The 22,749-nt window shown below is 34.8% G+C and overlaps 1 protein-coding gene across 1 annotated transcript in view; it reads left to right on the forward strand.

Moving 5' to 3' along the window:
• TFAP2D (transcription factor AP-2 delta) overlaps window positions 1–22,749 on the forward strand; it is a 59,508-nt gene that overhangs the window by 20,986 nt on the left and 15,773 nt on the right. Inside the window, exons 6-7 of the mRNA NM_172238.4 lie at window positions 10,596–10,737; window positions 16,700–16,813. Coding sequence (NP_758438.2) covers window positions 10,596–10,737; window positions 16,700–16,813 — 256 coding nt within the window. The remainder of the gene's footprint in view (window positions 1–10,595; window positions 10,738–16,699; window positions 16,814–22,749) is intronic.

Genomic DNA, 22,749 nt, shown 5'->3' on the forward strand with positions numbered 1-22,749 from the left:
CATTCGCAGACCCAGGGACCCAGAATTCTTCCATCCATAGCTTACTCTGCCTAAGTCTTAGGAATCCTATTCATTTAGCTCACAGATAAGGAAAGGCATAATGGTGGAAGTATACTGCTTCTTATCCACTCTAGCCAGAAAATTACCCAGTTACTACTATTCTCATTCTATAAGAACTAATCACGTGACCACACCTTATTGTGAGGATGACAGTGGGATATGCTAGAAAATGTAATCTCTAGCTTGGCAGAGTCTTCTCCGAAACAACTCTATCATATATAAAGAAAAGATAAAAATTTTATGGTCTGGCACCCATATCTACCCACAACATCTGACCTATGTTTCTTTTGCAGGATTAACTATATTCACATAGATTAAACATTTGCACAATAGGCCCCTCATAGAGCCACTAAATAAAAATTAGTACATGTATCCTAATGTGTGGTTTCTGGAGTCAAACTTGTCTGAACTCACTTCTACACTTGCTGTAAGGGAAGACACATAACTTGTCTGAGCATAAGTGTCCTTATTTATAAGGTGGTGTTAAAAAATAACACCCTTCACATAAGATTGTTGCAAGGGTTAAATCAGAATGTTTGCAAAGCACTTACCATAGTGCCCAGAATAAAGTCATTATTCTCAAATGAGAAAACTAAAAGCAAAGTGAGAATAGCTGTTATGCACAGGATTATACAATTGGGTGCAGCAAGGATGAGAACCCAGATCTTCTGGTTTGCAGCATCATGGCATATTTTCCATTTGGATTTGTGTTTGTGGCATATATCATGAACAGTTTCATTGCTGAGTTACTTCTGAATTTAACTAAAGTAAAACTCACGGATAGAAAAAGGGTTACCAATCTTTGAGCCTGTTTTTCACGTTAGATTGGTCCTCCCCTCCTGCTAGGAACCCTGAACAAGTTTCTTGAACTTTCTTATGTCCAAGCTTCAAAAACTTTGTTCACTAGTACAGGGTTTTTAAAACCTGATGAACCTTCTGCTTCTACTTAATCCCTCAAAGTTAGGGGGACATTAAATCTTGGTTTAATCTCTTCTGGAATAATTATCAATAGTATCCATTGTACTTTTTAAAGGATGCCAGTTCATTAAGTTATTAGTTACAAGATTCCCCTACAAAACCTTTTTATTCCACTCTGGCCAAACTTCCAAAAGGCAGTAGAAAGAAATCCTACCACTTGGTGGTATTTCCCTTCTACCTTTAATCTTGAGCCTAAATTATTGCATTCCCAAGAAACAAGGGAAAACAACCGATTTGTCAATGAACTCTTTCCTATAGATAAGGTCTACTAAGAAAGTTTTCTTGATGTGATTATTCTGTGACTTTGGAAAGAAGTATCATTGACTGCATGAGACTTGTAGGCTTGAAAACCGGAATCATTTTGCCAATTATTAGGGATAACATCTGTTTAGGGAATGCTCATTGTAAGTCATTCTTCTCATAGAGTTTAGAACAAAGCTAATATTCTCATTGCTCTTACACAGGTACCAACAATGGGCTTTTTTTGGGTGGTGGTGGTGACATATGAAACTAAAAGTCATATGAAACTTGAGCAACTCATGGACCTCATTTCCCAAATAGCTCCTTCACTGGCCTTCTCCAGACATTACTTTCCCACATTAGTCCCACCTTTGGGAGAAAGGTTTTCAGCTTTCTTCTAAAAGTATATTTGATATGAAAAGTGTAGTGCGTTGACCTCTTGTATTAATAGCTCTAGTTGATGTTCACTTTAGTCAGACAGTCTCACCTGGAAAAGCTCTGCTGTTCCCTTTTACATACACACATTCTGGCACTCACAGTGTCTTCTTGGAGACAGTTTTGCATAGTTTTTAGACTATTAGGTTTCGTATCATTCATAAATGTCTTATTCTAAGCACAGAATAATTTCTATCTAGGAGACTCTGCTTCAGTAATTGGTAATTAGATAAAACTTATTGTTATCTATTATCTAAAAACTTAACATTTATCAGTATTCAAAAATTGGTTTCAATGAACCTAAAATAGTATCACACAATATTATGGATAAATATATACCATATTAGAGTATATCTTTTAAAATTATTTGCAAGCTTTCTAATATCACTCCCCAGGGCTGCATTTTAAGATTTCATTCATTTCTGTGTGGTGGGGATGGTATTTGCATGTAGAGGCAGAAGGAATAGGATACTATATATACGTCACTGTGTTTGACTATGTGCTTGGGTGTCCATAAACTCCTGTTCCTACTCATGGTGACTGTGCCACATAAAGACAAATATAGCCAAACCAATTTGCCTCAGTTTTTCCCTTGCCACCTTTGATCTAGCTCATTATTCTCTCTTGCACATAGTGATGCTCACTAAAAATAACGTTTGAATTCTCTTCTTAGTGTCTTTCTTTTCTTTTTTCTATGATTCTTCCTTTCAAAACTTAATGGATCAACTAATGCTTTATTCCTTTTTTTGTTTTTTGTTTTGTTTTGTTTTTAGAGACAGTCTTAAGAGCTCCGTTGTCCAGACTGGAGTGTAGTGGCATGAACACAGCTCACTACAGCCTCTACCTCCTAGACTCAAGGGGTCTTCCTGCCTCAGCCTCCTGAGTAGCTGAGACCACAGACACATGCCACCATGCTTGGCTAATTTTTGATTTTTTGGTGGAGATGGGGATCTCACTTTTTTGCCCAGGTTGGCCTGGCTCAAGTGACCCTTCCGCCTTGGCCTCCCAAAGGCTAGATTATAGGAAAGAGCTGTGGCCCCCATTGCTTACATTTATTGAAATTTGTAGGTATTTTAATCAAATTGCAGGCTGTAATTATTCTTAGTGATGTCTAACTTTTATTGAATAACAATGGAAAACTTGGAATTACCCACGTTCCATCTACAATAAACATTTGAGTTCAGAATTAAATCTAAGAATAAGGCAAAGAGTAATTTTACTTTTTGATTGATTAATATAAGTTTAAATAAATAATACAAACAAATAGTTCAGGATTCAAAAGTTACAGAAAAGTATTCAGTAAAATACTTCCTTTTCACTCTGTTCCCCAGTCATTCAGTTCCCCTCCCAGAAGAAAACAAATGTTATTAGTTGATCTTTTTCCTTCCAAGGATATATGTGTGTATCTCTTTTATTCATTTTTAAAACAAATTATAGCATTCTGTAGATACTATTTTGCAATCAATTTTTTGAGTTTGTCTTAGTGTTCATTCTTTTTTTTCAGTGCTTACAAGTTGTTTGTTCTTTTAAAAAGTCGTGGTATTTCACTGAATGAATTTATTACAATTTATTTAACCAGTCCTCTTCTGAATATCATTTAGGTGTTTTCAGTCTTTGGCTATTACAAATAGTGGTTCAATGAAGAACCTCAAACTTATATAAATAGTTCCACAGATATGCAAGTACATATCTTCAATAAATGTCTAGGAATGGCGTTGCAGGGTCAAAAAATGATTTGCATTTATAGTTTTGATTGATTATTGGCAGATTCTCCTTAATAGTGGTTGCAAATTTATAATCCTATTAGCAATGAGGGTAAGAAGCATTGACATTATAGTACTTTCCTGTACTCTAAATTAAACAGGAGGCTATCAATTTTTTTATCATTGCTTATTTGATTGACTAAAAAAACCCTCTATTATGAAGGAGATTCAGAATATTCTTGGACTTTTATGAGCTTTTCTATTTACTTATTTTGTATTTATGGAGTAATATTTGTACTTTCGTTATTGATTTGTAAGTTTTCAGTCTCTATTAGGAAAATTGGCTTATTAAATGTTAGTATGTCTTTCATATGACTTACTTTCATTTTTCAGTTGGCTGTTATGGGTTTTTGTTTATTTGCTTTGTTTATTGAGGTCTTTGCATGCAGAACTTTTTTACATTAATATAATTATATTTTCACATTTTATTTCATGGCTTTTAGTTTTAATTGCAACACTGTACAAGGCCTTTTTAATTCCAAGATCATAAAAAATACCATGTTATCTTCTAATTACTATGTGGTTTCATTTTTCTATGTTTAAATCTATGATCCATCTGGACTTTTGTTTCATGGCCAAATGTATGCTACAGATCCAGTTTTATTTGTTTTTTTCCAGGTGGCCACCTTGTTGGCTTAACATTTTCTATTGATAATCCACCTTTTCCCTACTAACTTTAAGTGCAAGCTTCATCTTATATTAAATCACCCTTAACAAATATGCTTTTCCAATAGGCTGAAGTCTTTGTTTCCCTAACAATGCTATCTCTACTTCTACTACCACATTTTCTCTTTTGTCTATAGAGTTCATACCATATTAGCCAAATAAGGGAGATCTCATCATGCAAGAATCCAGCCAGATAGAGGCTCTTATAGTTTCATATTAACTCGCTAGTGGCTGCTTTCCCTTTTGTATAAGTCATAGAATCCTTACATTTTTGGAAGATGTGCAGTTCATCCTCACCTACTGCTTTCTCTTTATCTTAGGACAGTGGTTTCTCAACTCTGGTTTGAGAGAATTACTTTAGGAGCATTCAAAAACTGCAGATGCCCTGGCACCAGAGATTAATTGATACGGGGTGAAACACTTTTTTTTCTATGATACTTTAAGTTCTAGGGTACATGTGCACAACATGCAGGTTTGTTACATATGTATACATGTGCCATGTTGGTGTGCTGCACCCATTAACTCGTCATTTACATTAGGTATATCTCCTAATGCTATCCCTCTCCCCTACCCCCACCCCACGACAGGCCCCAATGTGTGATGTTCCCCACCCTGTGTCCAAGTGTTCTCATTGTTCAATTCCCACCTATGAGTGAGAACATGTGGTGTTTGGTTTTCTGTCCTTGGGATAGTTTGCTCAGAATGATGGTTTCCAGCTACATCCATGTCCCTACAAAGGACATGAACTCATCCTTTTTTATGGCTGCATAGTATTCCATGGTGTATATGTGCCACATTTTTTTAATCCAGTCTATCATTGATGGACATTTGGATTGGTTCCAAGTCTTTGCTATTGGTGAAAAACATTTTTTAAAGCAAATTTCTAGGTTATGGGAGTAGCAAGGGTTGAGAAAGCCTGCCTTCAAGTATAGTCTATTTTATTAAATGGCTCCACTGATAGAGGGATATACTCTATTTTTCTATTTTTCATAGGTTTTTCTGTATATATTTAATTCTTTCTAACAAGTCTCTTTTGCTCTAGTTCTTCCCTATATTCTAGGAGGGGATGCTTCACAAGACTATTGTCATAATTAACATACTGTTAACATAATCTGAAAGCTTTTTCATTTAACAAATGTCTACTGAGTACCTATTGTGAATCAGATGCTGTGCTAAGTGCAGGATATTGAATGGGGAATGAAACTTTCACTTTGAAACACAAAGTGTTGGTGTTTGACAAAAGCAACATCAAACTAGTAAAACTACTATATTATAAGGCACCTCTCCAGGCCATAGATCGTATGATGTATAGAGCTGTAGAATGCATTCCTTTCCGAAGAGTCTGGGAAATCTGTAAGTCAGGGCATCAGATATACTTACTTTGTGCTTCAGCTCCAGGGTTTGCTAAAGCTTGATAGTATAAGAATTTACTTAATTCGCAAATTTGCTTTCTAATAGATAGTTCTTGGAATAATCCCATAGAATTGAATGTGCTATTTCCCTATATGTGAAAATAAAATTCAAATCATAAATATATGACTGGAGTTTAACACATACAAATTGTTATTTTCATTTAATAACATTGGGTTTTGCAACACTAAGTTAAACTCAATTGTTTTTAAGGCAATATTGTTAGAGTGACAGTTGATGAGAATTATCTATTGAATAACAATGTACAAGTACTGCTTAGTAAAAATTAGTGTTAAATATTAATTTTTTAGTTGTGTAAAGTAATTTTTTTAAAAAATACCATAATTTTAAAGAAAGAATTTTGTTTGTTTGTTTGTTTGTTTGTTTTGAGATGTAGTCTCACTTTGTCGCCCAGGCTGGAGTGTAGTGGCACAGTCTCAGCTCACTGCAACTTCCGCCTCCCGAGTTCAAGCAATTCTCTGCCTCAGCCTTCTGAGTAGCTAGGATTGCAGGTGCCCGCCACCACACCCAGCTAAATATTTTTTTTGTATTTTTAATAGAGATGGGGTTTCACCATCTTGGCCAGGCTGGTCTTAAACTCCTGACCTCGTGATCCACTGGGCTTGGCCTCCCAAAGTGCTGGGATTACAGGCATGAGCCACCACACCCGGCCTAAAGAAAGAAAAATTCTTAATGACTGTATAACAGATTGAAAGTCAGGTATATTTATTTTTATTGTTAAAATGCATTTAAACCTGCTTCTTATAAAACTCAGGATCTTGGCACAATGTGCAGTTTTTCCTTAAAAAACATTTTGCCATTAACTTTCTATTTCAGAGCAACATCAATGAATGTCACTTAAATTTTTCCTAATATTTCTTCCTAATTTTTTACTTTTTGCTTTGGAGTGTGGAAAAATGAATTCTCTAAAATCAACGAGCAAATTTATCTTTTACGTTCTTGCTATGTTCTGAAATTTATTTGTGCCTGCTTTTTAAGAGATATGTTTAATATAAGTATTAAATATCTGTATTTAATATAAGTATTTAATATAAGTATTTAATATAAGTATTACTATTGAAAAGATGAATATCCTTCATGGTTTTCACTTTTTTAGTAGGTGGGGTTACTACGTGGCACATACAGCCTAAAGCCTTGCTCTTGGAATACTTTTCTCCAAGCACCAACCTGATCCACCTACACACCCATGTACCCTACTTCTTTTTTTAAACTTTTATTTTAAGTTCAGGGGTACAAATGCAAGTTTGTTACATAGATAAATTTGTGTTGTGGGTGGTGGTTGTGCCAGTTATTTCATCACCCAGGTATTAAGGCTAGTACCCATTGGTTATTTTTCCCGATCTCTCTCCTCCCACTCTCCACCCTCCAGAAGACCCCTGTATGTGTTGCTCCTTTCTATGTGTCCATGTGTTCTCATCATTTAGCCTCCACTTATAAGTGAGGACATGTGGTATTTGATTTTCTGTTCCTGTGTTAGTTTGCTAAGGATGCTGGCCTAAGACCTAAAGACAGAAATACCATTCTATCCTACTTCTAAAATATGTAATTATTGAAATGATATGGAATAAAATGAAGGTATTTCAACTTTAGTGTGTTGCTTCAGTTGTATTAAATTAAAAAAAAAAGGTGCATGGCCAAGTGCTGCAATACATTGAAATAAAGGGATAGCTTAAAGTAGCTCTGAAAAAAAAAAAAAAGAACAAGAACAAGGGTGTTCTACTTCTCTCCCAGGAGTGAGGTGATGGCAGCCATACTTGCTGTTTGGAAATCAAACGGAAAACATCCTGGGGCTTTCCTGGATTGCTCTTTCCACCACAGGTTCTTGCACTTCAGTTCATTGTTCATATAGACATTTTGTGCCACCACAGAGGCAGAGGAGCTCATGGATTTTTATTTTCCCAAATCAGTCAAACTCCTTACAGTCATGTTAATATGCTTTTCTGACTGTAAAATGTCTAGTTTTCTTAAACCTGTTGACTAAGACATCTGTTGTAAAGGACTTAACTATAGATTTGTCATTGTTTCTGAATACCATGTGTATTTTAATTAATGGATGCATTTATTCATTCATTTTTGGGCCCTCACACACAAAGCTTCTGTGGCATGATATACACATTTTAACTACATATCAGAGTGTCTTCACTTGCCACTTCTTTTAATGTAGCATTGCTATACATCCTGTAACAATGTTATATCACAAGCAGGAGAAAGCAGTAAACAGAACTGAGGGAAGGAAGGATCTGGCTGTCAGTGTAAATGTAAATAGCAGCTGTCCCACTCAAACTGTTTTTAAAACTGCCACACGGTGAGAGCTTTGCATAAAATGGGACAGATCCGCAGGAATCAGGTTTTAGCACAAAATTCAAGAGGCGTGCTGCCATCCTCCTGTTTGCCCTGTTTTACCTCTCCCACTATTGTGCAAACAGTAAAGAAAAAGGATTGGATGGATGGATGGATGGATGGGTGGATGGACACATAGACAGACACACATAGATAGATAGATAGATAGATAGATAGATAGATAGATAGATAGATAGATAGATAGATGATAGATAGATAGACTCTGTTAAAATGTTATTTAAATATCTGTTTTGGTGTGAACAATAACAATGTGCAGCTATATTAATACATGTAACTTGACTTGCTGTACAAAGATGATGCCACTGATGGTATTATCCTGTTAGTTACAAGATACTTTTGAAGCCTAAGGTCCACATGAGTTTATCCTCTGGTCAGGTGCTGTAGCATTATTTGATGGGTCAAGGTTTAAAACATTTTTACTTCCAAATTTGAAACTTCTCAAATAATCTCCCTTCTATCATTTTTCAAGCAATAGTGAGTGTCCTGTATGGCATAACAACGACTTTAAAACACACACACACACACACACACACACACACACACACACACATCTTTGTGCCATTTCTTCTGCCAAATATTCACATATTTTCTTACCTTAAACTGTGACCCCCCATTAAACTAGCACTATTCAGATTAATATAGAGATCCCTTCCATTTAGTTACATCATCTCTCTATTTAAAATAGAAGAAAAAACAATGATGTTTTCCACCACACAGATATTAAAATTGCAACTAAAGACGTGCCATTGCTCATGTGAAATATGTGTGGAGAGGGGCATGATCAGAATTTACAAAACATTAACCGCACTAATATGTTTGCTTATTGCAATACCTTTTATATTAAACTAGACTTTTTTGCTAAGGCCTAGAACAGGAGGTCTCACCTTGTGAGAATGAAAAAAATAGTATATTTTGTTTTGTTTTGTTTTGTTTTGTTTTGTTTTGTTTTGTTTGGAGACAGAGTCTTACTCTGTCACGCAGGCTGGAGTGCAGTAGTGTAATTACGGCTCACTACAGTCTCAACTTCATGGTGTCAAGCAATCCTCCGGCCTCAGACTCCTGAGTGGCTAGGGACTGCAGGCATGCACCACCACATCTGACTAATTTTTAAATTTTTGTAGAGATGATGGGGTCTTTCTATGTTGCCCAGGCTGGTCTTGAACTCCTGGGCTCAAGGGGTTCTCCCGCTTCTGCCTCCCAAAGTGCTAGCATCTTTACTAAGGATATTTTCATTGATATTAACTGTTCTCTTTTGTATATTTTGTATATCTATAAACTTTCCCTCCCTTTTCTTCATATTATCAGCTATTTCATTTTTTCCTGGTACTTGTAATATAATATCTTGTATTATATACTGTCACCATAATAACAACAAACATGAAAAGATTATAGGTAATATTCATATAGGTGCAATAAAAATTACAAAGTGCTACTAAGATACTTGTTGTTGTTGCTACTATTATTGTTATGACTATCATTTTCCTGGAGACAGGCAATCTTTGGTACTCTTTTATAGTCCCCATTACTTCTACCTAGCACTGTGCCTTGAATAAGGTAGGTGAGTAGATGCTTAGTATTAACAGATACACAGTACAAACTTGATTTTATTTTTAACTTTTAGGTTCAGGGGTGCATGTGCAGGTTTTAATATAGGTAAACTGTGTCATGGGGGTTTGGTGTACAGATTATTTCATCACCCAGGTAATAAGCATACTACACAATAGATATTTTTTCTGATTCTCTCCACCCTCCTACTTTTTACCCTCAAGTAGGTCCCAGTGTCTGTTGTTCCTCTCTTTGTGTCCATGTGTTCTCATTGTTAAGCTCCCACTTATAAGTAAGAACATGCAGTATTCGGTTTTCTGTTCCTGTGGTAGTTTACTTAGGATAATGGCCTCCAGCTACTTTTGCAAAGAACATGATCTCATTCTGTTTCTGGCTGCATAGTGTTCCATGGTATATATGTACTACATTTGTTTAGAAAACTTGATTTTTTAAATAAAAGTTTAGTGGACAGGTAAGATTTGCCTTGACTGAGCTTTAAAAATAACATTGTTTTCCAGATTGATTTTCATCACTTAATTTTACTTTGCTGGGAAGCCATTCGTACCCCATTTCTTAAAAATTTACTTGGGTTTAGGATTTTGTGAAAGAACAAAGTTATTCATGATTTTCCAAAGTTCTCCGACTTCCTCGAAAAGTTATATGGACCCTTCGCAGGTATTTTAATAGGTCTCATGGAAAAAACATCTGAATAGTTTAGACACACTAAGAATAGGTTGTAGGCTCAGCAGCCACAAAATGACTTGTCCATGGGGCCATTTTGCTTGGGAATCATGTGTAAAACCTAGGAAGTCAGTCTGGTCTAATGGCCAGAGCCATGAGGGGAATCAACACTTCTGGATTGTGTTTCTGTTTTTTTCCCCTCAATTTTCCACCTATCCCTGCCTGCTAAGTCACTTCTCTGTTCCTCAATTTCCCCTCATTCTTCCTCATTACCTCCCCTCCTCCCCCCAAAAAGGTCTTTTTTCTTGAATAGTTTAAGTAGGAAAAATGATTTGTCTGACCACAGCCAGGAGTGAGGCTTGAGCAAAATGCAAGACACTACTGTTATTAAGGTTGGATACTGGTGAGAAACTCACTTGTGTTATCTGCCAACAGGGGAGGCTTTGCACTTGGCTCGGGATTTTGGCTACACTTGTGAAACAGAGTTTCCAGCCAAAGCAGTAGGAGAACATCTTGCCAGACAACATATGGAACAGAAAGAACAGACAGCAAGAAAAAAGATGATCCTGGCGACCAAGTAAGCAGAATGGGGAAACCTCTGTGTGCTTTCATCTTCAGTATTTTTTTTTCATTTTCTTTGAAATGAGGAAAACAGTCTAGAAGGCACCCGTTCTCTAAAACAAGGAAGGTCTCACACACAAGCAGCTAGATATATTAAACAAGGACTTTCTACCCTTTGGTGCCCAGGCAAGGTTTACAAACTGCCCTTGATTAGTGATAAGGCTGTCATTGAAACTGATGAAAGTTCTTGGAAAACTTCTCCAGAATATGCAGAAATCCCTTGGAGAAAAACATGTTTAGGAAATGTAGATCCCAGGCAAATATGTCTTTGGTTGCTATGTAATTTGGTCTAAGGCACTCATTTTGCCTTAATAAATGAGGGTAAAATCTCAAAACACCATAAATGTTTGGGGAATGTGACAGAAGATGAGGTCACACGTTGGTGAGAGGTACCAGGGAGACCTCTGGGACCAAGGATCACCATGAGTGTCCCCATCCTCTCTTGTGTATGAGTAAGTAAATCATCCTTGTACTGCCTCATAGTGTTATTGTCTTTTTTTTTTAAGGTATAATGTATTTCAAAGCTTCTGGAAATTGTAAAAAGCCCAATTAAAATGCAAATTAAAATAATGAGGAAAACGATGTAGACAAATTTGACAATACAATAGGAAAGGGGGAAGCTTGCATAAGATGACTTATAAATTCCTTGACACTTGAAAGTTCGTCGATAATTAGTGGGAATACTACCATTTATTGTGTAAAAATCCAGCAGAACCGCAGATAGCACTGCAGGTTACGTTCAAAAGTTTTAGAGGAAAATCCTTCTGGTAGTAACCAATTCTTGTTATCCTCTCATTATTGAAATAAGTTATTGATACATATAGGCCATTAAGAATCTTAAATAATTTTTAATTCTATATTAAGATTTTAGAACTGATAGTTTCAGCTGGTTAAACTGTCATTTATGAACTAATTTTTTATTCAGGGAAAAGTATTTTGTTTGTTTGTTTGTTTGTTTGTTTGAGACAGAGTCTCACTCTGTCACCCAGACTGGAGTACAGTGGTGCGATCATGGCTCACTACAGACTCACCCTCCCCAGGTTCATGTGATCCTCCCACCTCAGCCTCCCGAGTAGCTGAGACTACAGGCATGAGCCAGCACACCCACCTGGTTTTTGTATTTTTTATAAAGATGCATTTTTGCCATGTTGCCCAGGCTGGTCTCAAACTCCTGGGTTCAAGCAATCTGCACTCCTTGGCCTCCCAAAGGGCTAGGATTACAGGCATCAGCCACTATGCCCAGCCTTAGGGAAAACTTTTTAAGAGAAAATCTAGGGCAGAGAGTATTAAAAACATCACTTCTTAGAAACTGATAACAAGTAATTATTTAATGCCTTTACAACATACTGGCTGAGATTTAAATTGGCTCAAAATGCATAAAACCAAAACTAAATATTCTCTTTTCTACCAGCTTCTTATGTAACATAGGACTTTTTACAAATTTAAGGAGTATATGGGATACTTGCCATCTCACAGGTTTGTCCAAGACACTTGAGTCCCTTAATTGAAGTTTACACACTTGCTGTGGCTGGCACTGTTTGGACTTAGGATTATATTTATCTATTGCTGTTCTGAAAGTACTAGATTATCTCATCTTGTCCCAAAGAGAAGAAAAGCAAAAGTTGGTGGCAGAAGGAATAGAGAAAAAGCAAAACAAGATTAAGAGGAAGGGAATAGCAGAAAGAGAGTATGAAGATCAAGAGATAGAGAAAGAAACTTATAAGGCAGGTATAAAAGTTGGACTTAAAATCTGGGAATAAATTTTGTGAAGTGGAAGCCCCTGAAAACTTGCTAGTAGAAAAGACCTAAATCTGAACCTTTTGCATATTTTGTCTTCTGGGAGTCTTTATCTTTACCATGTACTCATTTCCTTTTCCAAATAACTTATTGACTAAATTTTTTTTCCAAATAATTTCAGTCATATTTCAGTTTCTCCAAAAGGAGCTGAAAGCACATATAGTTAGTTTGAATCCTTTGCATTACCGTAGGAGAAAGATAAAGACTTGTTACAGATCAAGAGAATTATACAGTACTAGAATTTAGGTAATATCTCCCAGGTGTTTCCATAGCATATCATCCTAGCTGGCAGGATCATGCAGGTTTACCAATGCACATATCCATGTGAATTTTACTGTTGTCCCAAAATACAAATTTCCAAGAGAAAGCACCTTCATTTTTCCTACATCAAAATGACTTGGTTGTGGTTTTATCATGCATATTCAAAGACCTTCACTCCTTAATCCAGAGAAACACTTCATCTTGTCCTCCTTCCCCCAGGAATGGTTTTGGAAGTATTCACCACTACCATCATCAATGCAATAAATACAATTCCTATTTTCTTGGAGATTCCCATCATTCTGTTGAAGTGTGCAGCAGTCTCCAAGCACATTCAAATTGGCACCGAGATTGTGTTTTAATAGAAGTAAATGCTAGAAGAATTTGCGGGAGAAATGCTAGAAGAAATGCATCCATATTTGTCAAAATTATACTGAGACATCTATTTTCGGGTAGCGTATTTGACCAGGTAGTAGTATTTTCCTTTTACCTGGGATCTAAGTAACATACATTATTTTAGGTGATATTTTGAACTTTGATTTCATTAAACATTGTGAGAACATGTAATTTTATTTTATCTGTCTGCTCATAGCTGCACATTTGCAGACCATTAAATGTCAAGCAAGAATTGAATCCACTCATTTCAATTAACTTATCTTACAGAAGAGTAAATAGGAATAAACACCTGAAAATTATAATACAGCTTTATAATTTTTTATTTTTGTTACTTATATGCATCCTATCTTCTTATTGGACTATGTGAAATAAAAATCAGAGACTCCAGTCATAGCAAACATACGTAATATAACCAGTAATCACTATAACTAGATAAACTAGGGAATGTGTGGAAATAATACCCTTTTTGTGCAACATATGAATGGACCCAACATGTGTTCTGAGAAGTTTCTAATTTTACACCAATGGTAAAGCATGAGGTATTTTCATCAATTAAAATGGTAAAAGTTAATATTAAGTAGCCTATATGGATATTCATTACATCCTGGTCAGTTCACCTTTATTCATAAGACTTGGACAACATTATAAAAAATATATATGAAATCTAAAATTTATTGAATGAGAGATCCAATTGCTAATCTACATTGTCAGATTGGCCTACATATTTCTTTTTTACCTCCATGGATTACAGATTCAGTTGTCTTTAAGTATATTGCCAAGTATACAATTGTATAAAGGGCCTATTAATTAAGTGTCATTAGTCTTCTCATGCCACCTTATTTCCAGTGTTTTGTTGATTAAATATTTTGTGTAATTTAGACATTTATTTAGGCGAAAGAATAGAAACTGAAACATTTTTTGAATTCTAAAAATGAATCAGACAAAACGTGTTTATTTGGTTAATAGAAAACATATTTAAACCTTTTGATTGAATTTAGAACTAAATATGTCTAACATTTGATCTGCATTAAGGTAAAGCAGAATAGTTAACAACTTTTAGTGTTACCATACTGTTAATCATCTAAGGGTGAAACATAGAATTTGGATTTCAGACATCAGCTAAAAACTTACGTCCTTAAGGACAATGATGTAAGTGATAAAGTTAGAATGTATGATTCACTGAAGATCATCTTGTGTTACATAATTCATAATATGACATTTTGCCTTGAGATGTAAGATTGTTTCTTTTTGTAGATTTATAAATAAAAAATTAAATAAGAAGGAAAGTAGTCATAAAATCATAATTCTGTAAGTGCCATAATGAGATGATGATGATAATTGCCTACAGGGAATCTACAGGATTGTCATCTGTTTTCAAGTCTAAGCTTGAAAGTGAGTGAGTTAAGCTGTAGAATTAAATATAAAAGGGGGAGATATAATATAATATAATATTACTCCTGGTAGATCCTCCTGTGTGAATTATTTAGCATGAGTTAAATTTTTCCACCTCTTTAGCTTTCTCTAATTTCTTCGTCAATTTTATTATAACTTGCTGTATTATTCATACAGGAACAAAGTTGATTTGTCAACTTAAAAGTTTATTCCATTATCCAATTAATTCTGATATTATGCCACAATAACTAATGTTTCAATCTTTATTTTAATGTTTTAAAATTTATTTTAATCTGATAGAAAAACTAAAAGACTGCTAAAAACAAAAGTCTAAAAACAACACCAATCTTTCTTTGTAAGAATGGATCGTAATGATGACCTACCATACAGTAATTTGGAAATGATAGCATGAGGCTAAATTTAAAATTTTAGTTAGAAATTTCCATAAACAAAGACAACAAATCTATATTAAATAACACAAAGCACAAAAGATTATGATATACTCCTCAAAATGGCACCAAACACTTAGATTAAGTTGCATTCATTGATTAAAATATGGGCAATACACCTGAAAACAGGTATATTTCATAAAGCAACTGAGTCTCACAACAGAAAATGTGAGGAGTTCAGAAGAAACTGTCTGAATGAAAGTAGAAACACACAGTTGTTAAAAGCATGTATTCAGATGCTGTATCTCAGAGATCCAACTGGCCCTTTAGGAAGGGGATGTGAAGTATCTTATTTCACTGAAGCAGATAAGGACTTTGTTTTTCCTATCTCTGACTCCTTTTTACTTTCACCTGTGTTCTGCAAACATGAATAAGGCAATTTCTGTGAAATGACACAATATTTGAACACTGGCATTAAACCAGACCCTCATTGTTCATTTAAAATATCATAAGTGATCTTTGATGGAATTCAATAAATTTTAGATACCTGATTAAGAAGTCCCCACTGATTTTTAACTCAGTGATCAATTATTTGTACTTCAAGATATTTTGTCACTTTTTGGTAGTCATTTGTTGATGACACAAATGCCTTGCAGCAGAATAATGGCCGGGTTCATATTCACTTGAAATAATTTGACACTTCTATACCTGTCTTTGTTTACATTGATAATCAAAGTCAGGGCTACATTATTACATTTTTGCGACTGCCCATTGTAAAAACAGACAAAAAACCTAATTACTGTCATATTATCCCTTGATTTATGGAGTCACCTCACTTTAGATGATGGATGTTTTTAAGCAATTCTTTGGCAATCCTTTACTTTTCAGAGACTGGACTAATTTAGTGTTTTGTTGTTAAAATACAAAAACAAAAACAATATCTCTTTGTATAGTGTATTCTGCTTCTTTAGAATTATATCATTTGGAGTGTACATCACAAAGTCTTTACTGTTACATTGTAACACTGTAATTAAACTGAAACCAATGACCAAAAACCATAACCATTTAAAGCAAAGAAATGCAGCAGAAAAGTTACCTTGAGGGTAATTTTTGCAAGAAATTGGCTTACATGGAACATAATATAACCATTTTTTGTGAGGCTAGTGAACTAAATTACTGGTGATTATCTGCTTCAAATATTAGCATATAAAGTTAGCTCATAAGAATATGAACTCTAATGCAATATTGGGAAAAAAGGATTTTCCAAAGTCTGTTTGAATAATGGCTCTGAAGTAAGACTGTAACTTTAATTAAATTTGTTTACAGATATTATGTCTTAAAAAATCACATTTCAATTAAAAAGATCATAGTGATCATTTCATATGGGGTTCCCCTTATCCTGAGGTTAATTTATGAATAGTCATCTTAAAAATAAACATTGGTCTTATCAGTGCTCATGGATTGTTATTTGTTTGAAATGTTGTATGATTATCCTATAGCCGTTGAGAGCAAAGTCACCATTATGAAACTCAACTGTATGCTATGAATGGAACTTTTGAGGTTGCTTTATGAAATGTTATCTAGACTTCTTTTAAAAGAGAGAACAAGCCTTTGGTTAAATATCATGGGATGAAATTAAAGCTCAATTTGAAAATTTCAATTTTAAATTTGATTCTTTTATTTTAGACAAATCTGTAAAGAATTCCAAGACCTCTTGAGCCAAGATAGATCACCACTGGGATCCTCCAGACCCACTCCAATTCTAGACCTTGACATCCAGAGACATTTAACACATTTCAGGTAAGACTGGTTTTCCAGTTTGCTCAAATTCTTTACTAACCCAGATGCTTGTATTCCTATCACAGTTCTATTTAGAGATACCACTTATATGTTTATATGGTGACTGTCCTAGTCCTTTCAGATGGGCTATAACAAAATACCTTAGACTGGGTAATTTATAAACAACAGAAATATATTTTTTACAGTTTGGAGGCCTGGGAAGTCTGAGATTAAGGTGCCGGCAGAGTTAATTAGACAAAGGCTTGCTCTTTGCTTCAGAGATGGCACCGTCTCCATTTTCTCCCACATGATGAAAGGGCCAAACAAGATCCCCTGGGCTCTTTTATAAGGGCACTAATCCTATTCATGAGGGTTCTGCCCTCATAAGCTAATCACCTCCTAAAGACTCTATTTAATACTATTGCATTGGAGATTAGGTTTCAGTATATGAATTTGGAGTGGGGTGGAGGGGACACACATATTCAACCATAGCAGTGATTGACTGAATTTTTTAAAATTCCAAGCTTGTAAAATCAAATTGAGAGAATAACAATGCATGAAGCATTTTAGATTGGAAAATTTTATATCTTTATGCATTGTTAGGAAATCATTACTTTACAAAAATGAACAATATTATTTCAAATAATACTTAGCACTTTTGGATGAGGGTTCTGAAATCTTTTAAATTGTTTTTTATCTTGGTGACACAATTGTTTAATGGAAAGATGCCGTGACAGAAATTAACAGGATATCACTGACTGGTTTTCCAGAAGTATGTTAAAAATTTTGATGCAATTAGAAACTGCAAATGGTTCTTAAGTTAGACCACACAAGAGCATGAAATGTATTATTGGAGTCATATGTAACTAGCCTGCACATTGTGCACATGTACCCTAAAACTTAAAGTATAATAATAATAAAATTTAAAAAAGAAATGTATTATTGGAAGCATATTTTAAATTTCATTTTCTGATGTGTTTTTGGAATGAAGAAAATATTTATCTGGTTAGTTTGTGCCCCATATGGAAGTGAGAAAGAACATGTAATTACTCAGGTGCCTTACATTTTTAAAACTCTAGAATTTTAATGCCTACATGATAGGCATATTGTATCCTTTCTAAGTTATTATCATTTAGTTAAACAATGATAAGGAAAGACTAATACACATTAAATATTAAAATGCTTTCAATACCTGTCAAAAATTGTAAAGCTGTTGAGGAGGGCACTTCATTATATAAAATAACAAGTGTTTAAATAAGTTGAAATTTAGGCTGCAACATCAGAGACTGTTAAATAGAATATTCTATTTTACAATATGTCACAAGTTTCCTCAAGATGTAATAGACACACATCTCTGAAGACTCAACTTAGGATTTATCTTCCAAAAATGCACAAAATGTAGGATATATTTCACAGGACTTCTCTCCTATCACTCAACTGAGCTAGTGATAGAAGTGTAATAAAACTGGGGGAAAATAAAAAGCCCAGATGCTATGAGCAAAAGGTTTTGGAGTCAAAACCTTTTCAAATCCTTGTATCTGTGAGCCCTTATATATGTAAGCTGGGTTGTTTGGGGTAACTTACCCACTCATTCCAAACCTTTATTTCCTCAGCTTCAAATGGGATAAGAGCCCCTTCATTATATGGTCATAGGTGAGCTAAAATGAGATAAAGAATGTAAAGGAAGCATTTAGTAAATGACGTATCATTTACCTTCACCACCGATCCAAGTTTAAATTTGTCTCCAGCATTACATCTACACAAATATTTTTCACATTTTTGTTTGTGCGCATAATAAAAGGATTTATAATTTTTACAAAAGATCAACTCAGAACTTAATTTTCATTGAGGTTTGATTCCGGATTTAAAGAAGTGTGTTAAATGACAATTTTACTCTGAGAAGGAGCATACTATTAAAGTACAGAGAAATGAGACTCTGTCATGTATGCTAGATTATTTCCAATTACAGATGCTGAGGCCTTCATCAGATAGTAAGCCATCCTTTTTATGCTCAAAACAAAATAGAGCACCAGTCAAACATCAGCTACAGTGTGAAATAAATAGGCAAAACATTTGTTTCCTTAGCATAGGCACAACTTGCTGATTTGTCAATACATTAGTCAGTTGCCAACTTAGTGCCACAGAACTCTTTAGAGAAAACTCACTTCAAAACATGAGCTGAGCATTTTCTTTGTGGGCTTTATATGCTCTTATTTACCTCCCCATACAGAATATGGGAACAAGCTGGTGTTACTCAGAGTGCAGCTAAATATATGGTAAATGGCCACCCTCACCCCTAGTGAAAAAGAAAGTGAGATTATATTGGAGGTATAAAACTCACAAGATTATATATGGCTTCAGTTTCTTAATCACAATTTCATGCATAACCATATCTTAAAACTTTCTAACACTATATATTTACTTACAATAGTATCATCTATAAAATGTTGATATTATTTATATATTGAATATTTTGAATATTAGAAAGTTATGATTTCCCATTTATTATGATTTTTAAATGTTTGCCAGAATTGTTATTTTTCTTTAATTGTAGTCAAAATTATTTATGTAGATAAAATCTTCTGATTTCATACCAAAAGTAGTAGGATGATACAAATCGCATAACCAAAGATTTCTTTATAGCAAATTTCCTACTATATCTTTTTCTTAAACTGTGATTAAAAATACATAACATAAAATTTGCCATCTTAACCATTTCTAATCAATTCTGTAGTGTCAAGCATATTCTCATTGTTGTATAACCAATCTCCACAACTTTTTTATTTTGTAAAACTGCCTCTGTACCCATTAAACAACTCCCATTCTTCTCCTCTCCCCAGCCTCTGTCAACTACCATTCTGTTTTGTGTTTCTGTGAATTTAACTACCCTAGACATCTCATATAAGAAGAATCATACAGTATTTGCCTTTTTGTAACTGGCTTATTTCACTTAGTGTAATGTCTTCCATGTTCATCCATGTCATAGCATGTGTCAAAATTTTCTTCCTTTTAAGGATGCACAATATTTCTGTGTGTGTGTATGTGTGTGTGTGTGTGTAAGTGTGTATGTGCCTATATATGCCACATTTTATCGATTCATTCATTGATGGCAATTGGGTTGCATCCACTTCTTGACTATCATGACTAGTGCTGCTATGAACATGGGTGTGAAAATATCTCTTCAAAATCCTGGTTTCAGTTCTTTTGGATATACACCCAGAAGTCAAATTGCTGGATGATATGGAAATTTTATTTGTCATTTTTTGAGGGCCTATTCTACCATTTTCCATAGCAGCTATACCATTTTACATTTTCACAATAATGTACGGGGTGTCTATTTCTCCATATCTTCACCAAATAGTAGCCATCCTAATGGGTATGAGGTGATATTTCATTGTTGATTTGCACTTCTCTAATGATTAGTGATGTTGAACATCTTTTCATATGCTTCTTAGCCATTTCTACATCATCTTTGAAAAAATGTTTAAGTTCTTTGCCCACTTTTTGACCAGGTTATTTTTTTTTATTAAGCTGGAGGTTTTTATATAGTCTAGATAGTAACCTCTTCTTAGATGTATAATTTGCAAATTTTTTCCATTCTGTACATTTCTTTATTAGTCTGTTGATTGTGTCTTTGGTACATAGTTTTAAATTTTGATGTCGTTTAATTTGTTTATTTTTTACCTTTGTTGCCTGTGCTTTTGGTGTCAAATCCAGGAAATCTTTGTTAAATACAATGCAGTAAAGCTTTCCTGTATTTTTTCTTCTAACAGTTTTACAGCCGTATGTCTTGTTTTGGTCTTTGATTCATTTTGAGTTAATTTTTGTTTATGTTGCAAGGTGAGGGTCCAAGTTCATTCCATTGCATGTCTTAAATTTTATCATTTTAAACAAAAGATACATGATTGGCATTTCCAATTGAAACCCAAAGTGAAGGTTCCTGATGTAGACTGAATTTAAATGTGTGTAATTTCTTTACTGCACATTTATTTAAAAAGGCATCAACAGAATATGTTAACAATAGGATAGCAAAAGTCAGCTTGTTGCTTAGCCTTGAAATATACTCTGCTCTTTACAAGTATATTTCTTAAACCTGGCTTTATATCAGAATCGCTCTTGAAACTGTAAAAAAAAAAAAAAAACTCAAGGATTGGAGGACATATTTAATATTTAAAGATTTGATTCAGTAGTTCTAGGGCTGGACTCAGGTATCTATGTTATTTTTAAAACTCTCAAGTTGATTCTGATAGGTAGGTTTAAGAACCACAGTTCTACGATATTCCGTAACTATAAGCTTTTTTTCCCCCTTTGGGAGAAGAAAAACTCCAATTCCTTTTTAAAGTGTTACTGAGAATTCTATCAAGTTTTGTATTGTATACTAATATATTAAAAACATTCTACTGGGAGCCCGAGGTGAAAGGATCACTTGAGGCCAAGACTTCAAGACCAGGCTGTGCAACATAAAGAGACTCCATCTCTACCAAAAGTTTTAAAATTAAAAATAAAAATATTCTACATTGATGATTCTACTAATAATCTGGGTAAACATGTGTTAGCATACAGCATGTCTTTTTTATTTTTATTTTATTTTATTTTTTGTGAGAGAGGTTCTCAATCTGTTACCTAGGTTGGAGTGCAGTGGCTCAATCATGTCTCACGTACCCTAGACTTCCTGGACTCAGGTGATTCTTGAGACTACAGGCATGTGCCACCATGCTTGGCTATGTTTTTGTATTTTTTATAGAGATAGGGTTTCACCATGTTGCCCAGGCTTGTTTCAGCTTTGTAGGCTCAAGCAGTCTGCCCACCTTGGCCTCCTAAAGTGCTGGATTACAGGCATGTGAGCAACTGTACCAGGCCGAGTGTGTCCCTTTTAAAATTTTCCGCTGACAGTGACAACTGTAATTTCGATAGAACCATTAGCTCAAGAGAAAGATGAATTACGAAGGAGACATATCACATCTGACTTTGAAAGCAGACAATTGTCAGAGTGTGATTTTCCACCATTTTTACTGAATGCTGGCTGGGAAAGAAGTGAAGAGGGAGTGTAATTAGATAGGCATAAAGAATACTCTAATTAACACCATCAACTTGTGTTACTATTCTATTTAGTTAAACCTCCTTCCTAATGCAGACCACTTAAAAGTATACCTTATAGGTTGGCTGATTTGGTGCCTTGAGAACTGTGGCTTACTTTCAGCAGATTTAATATGTCCAGACAAAGCACAAATAACTACTTCTAGTTTTCCATGGCAGTTGACATATCAGTGTGTTCTGGGAAGCCGTATGCATAGCAGTGACCCTTCTCACAATTCACAGCCTGGAAAGCTTCTTGTTTCCATCAAAATGACAGAAGGCAGACTTATTCATTATTTATAATTTACTGAGTACCATCAACAGTGTGTATTGTTGTAGAGAACACAGCAGACACCACAACACAAACGAGAAGGGGGAAAAGATTTGATTGACATCTGCAGAAGACCCCATAGACTCACAGTTCCTGGGAATAGTGGTGGCATTAGAACAAGGTGGCATGGGGTTTCACGGTCAGAGTAGCCTCAGCTCAGATGGAAACCCAGAGCCCTAACTTTTTTGAAATGTTAGGAATTCCCCTCTTTGAGATTTCAGGAAATCTTAAAATTTTCCCCTGTTGGTCTCTTATGTTCTCATAATCTCCTTGAATCTGAAGTCAAGCAAAAGCACATTTGACAGTGTAGTAAGAAATTAGACTATCTTGAAGGCTCAGTCCAGGGAAGACACCCTGTCCAAAAGATGAGAAAACTTTTTTTCTCAGCATGTACCTTGGGAGGCTGAAGTTTTGTTGTTTGCGTTATTTCTAGTAGAATTATTATTTATTGTTTCTACTATGTTAATGGCAGGTAGTGAAAAGATGACTAGAGGATTATCCCATTCTTTAGAACTTCTAAAGTGGAGAATAATTATATATATAATTATTC

The sequence above is a fragment of the Homo sapiens genome, chromosome 6, assembly GCF_000001405.40.
Source record: "Homo sapiens chromosome 6, GRCh38.p14 Primary Assembly".
NCBI lineage: Eukaryota > Metazoa > Chordata > Mammalia > Primates > Hominidae > Homo > Homo sapiens.